General features: G+C 43.4%; 1 protein-coding gene across 1 annotated transcript in view, besides 1 other annotated feature; it reads left to right on the top strand.

The window, feature by feature from the left end:
* The window catches only part of SRGAP3 (SLIT-ROBO Rho GTPase activating protein 3), a 382,437-nt gene continuing 371,680 nt past the window's right edge, over positions 27-10,783 (top strand). Inside the window, exon 1 of the mRNA XM_024453843.2 lies at positions 27-214. The gene's annotated coding sequence lies outside the window, so the exon portion shown is untranslated. The remainder of the gene's footprint in view (positions 215-10,783) is intronic.
* Positions 61-270: an enhancer, noted in NCBI's record as "active region_19399". NCBI's record gives its function as "activates an Ori minimal core promoter by ATAC-STARR-seq in GM12878 lymphoblastoid cells {active_cell/tissue: GM12878}" and the evidence as "EXISTENCE:reporter gene assay evidence [ECO:0000049][PMID:35858748]".

The raw sequence follows: 10,783 nt of genomic DNA, 5'->3' as shown, positions 1-10,783 counted from the left end.
GCCCCCGGAAACGGAAGTCAGGCTACGAGTCACGGTGGCTCCGCGCTGGCGGCGGGTTCCCCCACAAGGTCTTGGGGAAAGGAGCATGCGCTGGAAGCTGTGTGCTGTTGGTTTTGAGGATCTTCAGTAAGCTGAAAGCGGAGAGTCAGGGGCCTTGTGTCCTACCATGGTATTTGCTAACGTTTAGAGAGTGCTTCCCCTTGCCGAGCACTGGGTAAGCGCTTCACATGCGTCATCTCATTTGGAACAAGTCTCTTTTGTTCTAGCACCTATGAAGTGGCAGAGACTGATTTCTGTTTTAAAGCTGGAGACACCGAGTCTCTCCAGCTTATTTAAATATCTTTCTCAAAATGTCATGCCACTAGTTCCTGATTTCTGTATTGCCATCACTATTTTAGCACTGTTTACTTCATATTTTTCTTTAGTTTAAAAAAAATAGAAATAGTGGGGCTCACTATGTTGCCTAAGCTGGTCTCGAACATCTGGGTTCAAGTGATTCTTCTGTCTAGCCCTCCTAAAGTGCTGGGATTACAGGCATGAGCCACTGTGCCCAATCAGATGAACTTTATTTCTCATAAAGGGTTGAACCTGGCCGGGCACAGTGGCTCATGCCTGTAATCCCAGCACTTTGGGAGGCTGAGGCGGGTGGATCACTTGAGGTCAGGAGTTTGAGGCCAGGCTGGCCAACATGGTGAAACTCCATCTCTACTAAAAATACAAAAGTTAGCTGGATGTGGTGGCCTGCACCTGTAGTCCTAGCTACTTGGGAAGATGAAGCAGAAGAGTTGCTTACCCAGGAGGCAGAGGTTGCAGAGAGCCAAGATTGTGCCACTGCACTCCAGTCTGGGAGCAAGACATCATCTCAAAAAAAAAAAAAAAAAAAAAAAAAAAGAGTTGAACCTGCATGGTAGCCATTTTGACAGACTGGGAAGCCTAGCTTCCAGTCAGAAGCCAAAAACAGGCACTTCCAGGGTTGGAAGAATAAGACAGGGATTTATGCTAAACACAGTGGCCAAATATACATGTTAAATAAACTGTAAGAGGGGTCACGAATATTTATGAAAGGAGCAATTTGTGCATGTGCAGTTGAGCTTCATGCCTCTCTGTGGATCCCATGTTTAAAAAATGGTGGCCTTAGCATGATCCAAGGGTAGAGTTTTCTACCGCTTGACTTCAAAAGGTGAAGCAGGGGATGTGAAAACCCTCACTGCACGTCCTCTGTCGACTGGCCAGAACCACTCCCTGGATGGTGGGTGATCTCTTATCAGGAAGGAATGCTAGTCGGTTGTTCTATTGAAACTGCAAATGGGAGGGTCAGCATCAGGCTGGTGGAGTGAGTCTTTCAAAAGGGCTGGTTTCTGTTTAACCCTTAGGAAAGAAAATCTAATGGCGATTATAGAGGGAGGGGTTATAAAGAGGTGTGTCCGACTTCCCATCCTGTCATGAGTAGGAACTCAGCTTCCAAGTTTTTTCTAGGGTCTCCTTGGCCAAGAGAGGGCCTGTTCAGTCAGTTGGGGGGCATAGAATTTTATTTTTATTTTTCAGTTGACAAAAGTTAACTTATTGTGAAAGGAACCCAACAACAAAAAGATAAACCGAATTTAAAACAAAACAAAACCAAAAAGAACACAATTTATAAATGTGCAAAGGGGCTGGGAGTGGTGGTTCATGCCTGTAGTCCCAGCGCTTTGGGAGGCTGAGGTGAGTGGCTCGCTTGAGCTCAGAGTTTGAGACTAGCTCTGGCAACATGGCAAAACTCTGTCGCTACAAAAAAATGACAAAAATTAGCTAGGCATGGTGACACTCACCTGTAGTCCCAGCTACTCGGGAGGCTGAGACAGGAGAATAGCTTGAGCTGGGGAGGTTGAGGCTGTAATGAGTTATGATCACATCACTGCACTTCAGCCCAGGTGACAGAGTGAGACCTTGTCTCAAAAATAAAATGAAAAATATGTAAAGGGCTTGAATAGATATTTCTCCAAAAGATGGACAAATGGCCAATAAGCACATGAAAAGATGCTGAACATCATTAGTCATTAGGGAATTGCAAATTAATCACAATGGGATACTCATCAAAATGACTAAAAGTAAAAAACAAAAAATCAACAGTTCCAAGTTCTAATGAGTATGTGGGGCAATGGAGCACTTATACATTGCTGATGAAAATACAAAATGATATATGCCCTGGTATGTTTTAGCTCTGTGACTCCACCTAAATTTCATCTTGAAGTATACTCCCATAATTCCCATATATTGTGGGAGGGACCCAGTGGGAGATGATTGAATCATGGGGGTGATTCCCTGCATACTGTTCTTGTGGTAGTGAATAAGTCTCACAAGATCTGATGGTTTGATAAGAGGTTTCCACTTCCGCTTCTCCCATTCTCTTTCTTGCTGCCGCCATGTAAGAAGTGCCTTTCACCTTCCACCATGATTGTGAGGCCTCCGTAGCCACATGGAACTGTAAATCCATTAAACCTCTTTCTTTTGCAAATTGCCCAGTCTTGGGTATGTCTCTATCAGCAGTGTGAAAATGGACTAATACACGTCCATTGGAAAACAATTTAGCCTTTCGTCAAAAAATTAAACATAGAACACATTACTCACCAATTCCACTACAGATGCTTTCTGACTTAGGATGGTTTGACTTACAATTTTTTGACTTTACAATGGGCTGATGGGTTATAATGCATTTTTAACTTACACTATTTTCTGCGTATGGTGGGTTTATTGGGATATAATCCCATTGTAAGTCAAGGAACATCTGTAATAGCTTTATACCCAAGAAGACTGAAAACAAGTGTTCAAACAAAAACTTGTACACAAACTGGGCATGCTGGCTCATGCCTGTAATTCTAGCAATTTGGGAGGCAGAGGCGGGAAGATTGCTTGAGCCCAAGAGTTTGAGACCAGCCTGGACAACATAGGGAGACCTGTCTCTACAAAAAATTTAGAAAGTAGCTGGGTGTGGTGGCACTCATCTGTGGTACCAGACACTGAAGAGGCTGACATGGGAGGATTGCTTGGGCCCAGGAGTTCGAGTCTGTAGTGAACTATGATTGCACCACTGTACTCCAGCCTGGGCAACAGAGAGCGTTCCCATCTCTAAACAACAAAAACAACAACTTGTACACAAATGTGCCTAGCGGCCTTATTGATTTAGTCAAAAAGTAGAAACAACCCAAATGTTCATCAGCTAATGAATAGACAAACAAGTGTGTTATATCTATAGAGTAGAATATTATTTGGTCATAAAAAGGAATGGAATACTGTGATATGATACATTGGTTTTCATCCACAGTTCCTAGCTCATAACTTTCCTAGCCCATTTTGCAGTAAACAGAATCTCTTTCTCTGACCTTCTCTTGCCCTCCTTTCACCTGCCTACTTGGCAAGACTCTAATCTGATTGTGGTCGTAAGGCATCTATTCCAGAGAGGGCCCTACCCCATATCCTGGAGGAAGGAATGCTGCACAGAGAGGCCAAGAGGCATCTGAATAGACAGACCTTGCTGGGTTTAGAGCATGTATTTTTTTGTCCAATCACTTTTTGATATGGTTGTCCATGCCTCAATCATGAGCATGGTTGTCCATGCTTCAATCATGAGCAACCAATGAAGTCTTCATGAAAGGTCAGAGGGAGTGCAGGGAATTTTATCCCAAAATATGGCTCCCTGGTATAATGAGGATTTTGAGTTAAAAACTCTTAGGTATCAAGTTGGAAGAGACTTTTTCCCTATCTACATAAAGATAGTATGGACCCTCCAAGGAGAACAGTTGCTCCCCTCCTTGTCTCATTATCCATTACAGGAAAGAAGACCAAGAATGTACCTGAACGGACCCTTTTATAAGATCATGACTGTCCCTGAGGATCATTTAAGTTCCAAAGAGAACTATTAATGAATTAATTTCTGTTCCCCATCCAATCATTCTCCCTAGTAACCATTTATTGCCCCTAAATAGAATTTATATCCCCCCACCATAATCTGTTTTGCCAGGATCCAAGTCCGTGTTCTTTCTGTAACCTCAAGATGGTGTTAAGCTTCTGAACCCCATTGGGATATTGGGCAATCACTCTGTGATTCTCCCTGTGTACATGGTTTAATAAATTTGTATACCTCTTCTTTTATTAATCTGCCTTCTTGTGAGTAGATTTTTCAGTAAACCTTCAGAGGGCCAAGGGCCCTCTGATGGGTGTCCTTTCCCCTATCCCTTGCCCTATGCATCTCTTCATCTGTATCCTTTGTAATATCTTTTGTAATAAACCAGAAAATATGTGTTACACTGGGTTCTGTGAGCCGCTCCAGCAAATCAATTGAACCCAAAGAGGGGGTCATGGAAACCCCAACTTAAAGCCTGTTGGTCAGAAGTTCTGGAGACCCAAACTTGCAACTGATATCTGAGGTGGGGATAGTCTTGGAGACTGAACCCTTAACCTGTAGGATCTGACATTATGTCTAGGTAGATAGTGTTGAAATTGAGTTGGAGAACACACAGCTGGTGTCCGCTGCAGAACTGATTGCTTGCCTGCTGGCTGATGAGGAGAAATCCCCACATATTTTGGGGTCCCAGAAGTCTTGACTGTTTTTGTGTTGGTGTGAGAGCAGAGGAGAAGCATGGTTTGAGAGTTTTTCCAAAGTACAGATATATTCTACAATATGGATGGACTTTTGAAACACTATGCTGAGATGCCAGACACAAAAGACCATGTGTTATACAGGCATACATGATTTTATTCATATGAAATATTCAAAATAGGTAAATATATAGAGACAGAAAGCAGGTTAATGGTTGCTTAGGGCTGGGGGAAGTAGGGGGTTGGCAGGTGATAGCTAAAGGGGGTAGAGTTTCTTATGGAAGTGATGAGAATGTTCTGGAATTAGGTAGTAAAGATGGTCACACATTGTTATGAATATACTAAGAAACACTGAATTTTACAGTTTAAAATATTTCAGAGTTTGAGACCAGCCTGGCCAACATGGTGAAAGCCCGTCTCTACTAAAAATACAAAAACTAGCTGGGTGTGGTGGCGTGCATCTCTAATCCCAGCTACTCGAGTGGCTGAGGCAGGAGAATCATTTGAACCTGGGAAGCAGAGGTTGCAATGAGCCGGGATTGTGCCACTGCATTCCAGTCTGGGAGACAGAGTGAGACTCCATCTCAAAAAAGAAAAAAAAAAAAATTTCAAATGGGGAATTTTGTGTTATGTGAACTTTTATAAAGGAAAAAGGAAACTTTGGTCATATGGGTAACTCATCATTTCCCTCCTAGACTTATATTGGGAGACTTAAATGTGATTAACACATTACCAGGCAAATAATGAAAATAAATAGTATCCTTAAGAATAAATACAATGAAAACAAAGCAAAGTTATTAAATTCTGGTCAGACACTGTTCCTTGCAAAGGCTCTTAGGCTCTAATGTAAGGCCCATTTTATACTCTTTTTTTTTTTTTTTCTTTTACATACTCCCCAGAAGAGTAACATTCTCTATTCCTTAAGGATAAATTATCAAGCCAGGTATGGTGGTGTGTGCCTGTAATCTCAGCTAATTGGGAGGCAGAAGTGGGAGGATCACTTGAGCCTAGGAGTTTAAGACCATCAGATGCATGCTACAATATGGATGGACTTTTGAAATATTATGCTAAGATGCCAGACACGAAAGACCACATGTCTTTCGTTGTTGAGAAATACCTACATGAAATACCTACATGATTTCATTTACATGAAATACCCAGAATAGGCAAATATATAGAGACAGAAAGCATAGTGAGATCCCATTATCAATTAAAAAAAATGTATATATATTTTGAGATGAGGTCTCACTCTGTTGCCCAGGCTGGAGTGCAGTGGTGCGATCTCAGCTCACTGCAGCCTCTGGCTCCCAGGCTCAAGCGACTCTCCCACCTCAGCCTCTGGCTCACACCACCATGCTTGGCTAATTTTTGTACTTTTAGTAGAGATGGGGTTTTGCCATGTTGCCCAGGCTGGTCTTGAACTCCTGAGCTCAAGTGATCTGCCTGCCTTGGCCTTGCAAAGTGCTGGAATTACAGGCATGAGCCACCACACCCACCCCCCAAAATAAAATAATATAAAAAAATACAAATTACAAATATTAGAGACAAACTAGCAATAATGAGATTTTCTTGACATAATGAGAGAGATTAAGTCATCAAAAGAAAATATTCTCTTGACCTGATTTGGTGTTATTTAATGCCTATCTTTGTACTATCTAAAATCATGTCCCAGGCTGGGCACAGTGGCTCATGGCTGTAATCCCAGCACTTTAGGAGGCCGAGGCAGGTGGGTTGCTTGAGCTCAGGAGTTTGAGACCAACCTGGGCAACATGGCAAAACCTCATCTCTACAAAAAATACAAAAATTGGCTGAGCGTGGTGGCTCACGCCTGTAATCCTAGCACTGTGGGAGGCTGAGGCGGGCGGATCACGAGGTCAGGAGATCGAGACCATCCTGGCTAACACGGTGAAACCCCATCTCTACTAAAAATACAAAAAAATTAGCCGGATGTGGTGGCGGGCGCCTGTAGTCCCAGCTACGCAGGAGGCTGAGGCAGGAGGATGGCATGAACCCGGGAGGCAGCACTTTCAGTGAGCCCAGTTTGCGCCACTGCACTCCAGCCTGGGCGATAGAGCGGGACTCTGTCTCAAAAAAAAAAAAAAAAAAAAAAAAAAAAAAAATTAGCTGGCCATGATAGTGCATACCTGTGGTCCCAGCTACTTAGGAGGGTGAGGTGGGAGGATTGCTTGAGCCTGGGAGGTGGAGGTTGCAGTGAGCCAAGATCGTGCCATGGTATTCCAGCCTGGGTGACAGTGAGATCCTGTCTCAAAAAAAAAAAAAAAAAAAGAAAAAAAAGTCCCATAAACAGGTCTCACGGTTCAGGAAATATCTCTCTATCCCATGTTGTTCACCGGTAGTATGTTACTGTGGTTTGAATGTGTGCCACCAAAGTTCATGTGTTTGAAACTTAAGCCCCATTGGAACAGTGTTGAGAAGTGGGATCTTTAAGCTGTGATTAGATCATGAGGGCTCTACCTAGATGAATGAATTAATGCTGTTATCATGGAAGTAGGTTAATTATTGCAGGAGTGGATTCCAGATAAAAGGATGAGTTTTGCTCCCTTCTCCCTCTCATGTGTGTTCTCTTTCCCTTCTGCCTTCTGCCGTGGGGTGACATAGCAAGAAGGCCCTCACCAGATGCCAGCACCTTGACATTGGACTTTCCAGCCTCCAGAAATGTGAGAAATAAATGTCTTTACTTTATAAATTACTTGTGTTCTAATGGAAGAAACAGATAATACAGAAAATATATACATCACATTTCTGTGGTAATAAGCATTAGGGAGAAAAATTAAGCAAGGTGGTTGGTGGACGGTGCTGGAGAGGTGGAGGAATATGTCTATTGTATGTCAGGTGGTCAGGTAAAGCCTCTTTGATAAGGTGACAAAGTAGACCCTGAATGAAACAACAGAGCAAGCTATTTAGATAGCCAGGAGGGGAGCATCCCAGGCAGAAGGCCTCAGCATATTCAGCAGGGCCTAGGAATAGCCAGGTGGCCAGTGAGGCTGCAGAGGAGTGAGCAGGATAGAGGTGGAAGAGAGATGGGATGGATACATCGTAGAAGTCAGTGTCTCACAAATTATCACCGTGCCTGACCAAAACAAACGAACAAACAGACAATCACTCTGGCTGCTGCCTGGACAATGTTAGGGAGCAGGAATGGAAGCAGTTACTAGGTGATTTCATTGGTCCAAGTGAGAGATGATGATATCTCAAACTAGGATATTAGGGGTGGGTGTGGTGAGAACTGTCAAATTCTGGGGTGTTTTGAAGGATGGGCTGTCATTGCTGGTGTTTTAGATTTGGGTTTGAAAAGAAAGGAGAGGAAGTTTGAGGGTCAGACTTAGCAGATTTGCTGGTTTAGAGTAACCATGTCCTGCTGACAGATGCATGGCCAAGAACGAGGCTAAACTGTCACAAAGTAAGTACAAGTGGGCACATATGCTCTTTATGGTTCTGGTTTATTACAAAGAAAAATGGTATGTTCGTTTATATCAGAAAGAACCAGATGACCTCCTTGGAAAATATTGACTAAAATGGATCTTGCTAGAAAATGCCAGTTTGAGACAGGTAACATTACATGTAGAAATTGAAGCCACTCATTTCTTTCTAACTGGAAGTAGTGGTTATATTAAACTAAAGAGTAAACAAGCATATGATTAAGTGTGATGATTCATATCAGATATAGTGACACAAATGAGGAGGAGCTCAGTGGTGCTTGTTCCCACAAACCTGGATATCTTTTTTACCTTAATGTCTTCCTATCCTTGCCTATTCTTTTTTTTTTTTTTTTTTTTGAGATGGAGTCTCGCTCTGTCACCCCGGCTGGAGTGCAGTGGCGCAATCTCGGCTCACTGCAAGCTCCGCCTCCCGGGTTCACACCATTCTTCTGCCTCAGCCTCCTCAGTAGCTGGGAGTACAGGCGCCTGCCACCATGTCCGGCTAATTTTTTTTGTGTTTTTTAGTAGAGACCGGGTTTCACCGTGTTAGCCAGGATGGTTTCGATCTCCTAACCTCGTGATCCACCCGCCTCGGCCTCCCAAAGTGCTGGGATTACAGGCATGAGCCACCGCGCCCGGCCTCCTTGCCTATTCTTAAAGTAAAACAAGGTCCTGGGTAGAAAGTCAGATAGCACAGCCACTCCCTTGCCCACCTTCTTCCTCTCCTGCAGAGAGAGGCAAGGACTGTTAGCCACTTCTGCTTTTCGTTTCTATGGTGATTACCTTCATGGCTCTAAAAGACACGTTTGTAGTGCCATTTCTTGCTTTTTCAATTTTTGCTATTATCTGCGGACTTTGTTATGGTACTTGAAGTTTAGCCTATTAACATTACCACCATCCTGTCGCCCCCTTCCTTCTTCTGCCATTATAGCTACAACCCAATGTAGTTTGTTCCTCTACATTAAATTTACCTTTTAAGTGTAAGGGATATATTAGTATTAAACATCTTCTTGTTCTGTCAGTTATGCACAGCATCTCTTGATCCCCCGCACTGTGAGACAAGGGTTTCATTGGCACTCCTGGCCTTTACCTCTCCTCCCTTCCTTGTACTCCCCAATCTATTTTGTTAAAAGAAGATCCCACTTGGCCAGTTGGATTCCTGTGGGGATGTAATTGAAAGAAGGATGCCCCTACACCTGCTTTTCATTCAGTACACTACTGAAATTCCATCTCCCCCAAGAAAACCTTTTGGGACCTCATTGAGAGATAAGAGATGTATCTATTAATATAATCTTATTAATGAAATAATAGCCTAGGAGTCCATGAACCTTTAACCCGAAGGACCTTTGTCCTGTCAGGTGTTAACAACTAGAGGGAAATACAATCAGCTTTGGCTGTGCTCTAAGCAAGCAGAGGCTTATTTACTTTTCCCGTGCCCTTTCAAGCCAAGGGCTATAAAACCGCTTTAGTAACATAACCCCTGTGAGAGCTTGTTGGTGGACTTAGTGCCATCACAGTAAATTTTCAAGAGAATGTATATGAAATTTATTCTTCTCCTTGAATTTCATGTTGATAAGTAAGTTGATTTAAAAGCAGCTCATTCGTTTGGAAAGGAACTGTATCCTTATAACTGAGATTACTGGAAGAAGGTCATGAGCTGGGGAATGCAGCACCCCTGCCACCTAGTGGTTCCTCCTGCTGAAACACTGCTTTTGCAAAGCACAGAAAACACAAATTGAGTTAGTATAGGAGTCAAATACAGCGAATGTCCTGAATCTGGGAAACTTCCATTCTCTCCTCCCTGTGTGATATCAGAGGAACGAAAAGAGCACTGACAAGGGAGAATGTTGTAGGTAAACATGGATAGCCATCAGGTCTCCTGCACAAAGGGGCAGCTGCAGGAAGCAGGAAGTGCAACAAATGAGCAAAGAAAGGGACAGGATCCCTCAGCAGTGGTCACTGCAGCAGCAACACGGTGCCAAAGGCAAAGCAGAATCACCAGCAAGATCAGCAGGGACAATGATGATAAAGCCACATAGGCTCAGCATCAACAACAGCCCTAGAGACTGTGGCCTTGGGACTGTAGTACTGCTTGATTCATGGTAAACCAATCAGGACACTCAGGGAACAACAACAGAAATCAGCATTTACAGAGCACATACTCAGTTGAGGCAGAGTTTTACCTGTATATCACATAATAGTCTATGGGGGTAGATATTCTTATTAGCCGTGTTATACAGGTGATGAAATTGAGGCTAACTAACTGGCCTAAAGTCACAGAGTTGATGAGACTTAGAGCCAAGATTCAAACGCACACCAAGGTGGCCTGACCCCAGCTGCAGAGCTCTTAACTACAGACATGCATTGCTAAAAGAAGGGGATATGATCCGAGAAATGTGCTGTTAGGTGATTTTGTCATTGTGTGAACCCATAGCCAGCTACACACTGTTAACAAAAGACCATGAGGCCAGGCATGGTGGCTCACGCCAGTAATCCCAGCACTTTGGGAGGCCGAGGTGGGTGGATCACCTGAGGTCAGGAGTTTGAGACCAGCCTGGTCAACATGGTGAAACCCTATCTCTACTAATAATACAAAAATTAGCCAGGCGTAGTGATGCGTGCCTGTAATCCCAGCAACTCAGGAGGCTGAGGCAGGAGAATCACTTGAAGCTGGGAGGTGGAGGCAGCAGTGAGCTGAGATCGTGCCACTGTGCTTCAGCCTGGGTGACAGAGTGAGACTCCATCTCAAAAAAAAAAAAAAAAAAAAT

The sequence above is a fragment of the Homo sapiens genome, chromosome 3 (assembly GCF_000001405.40).
Source record: "Homo sapiens chromosome 3, GRCh38.p14 Primary Assembly".
Lineage (NCBI taxonomy): Eukaryota > Metazoa > Chordata > Mammalia > Primates > Hominidae > Homo > Homo sapiens.
The sequence above is the reverse complement of the archived record's forward strand: the minus strand, read 5'-3'. Positions and strand labels throughout refer to the sequence as shown.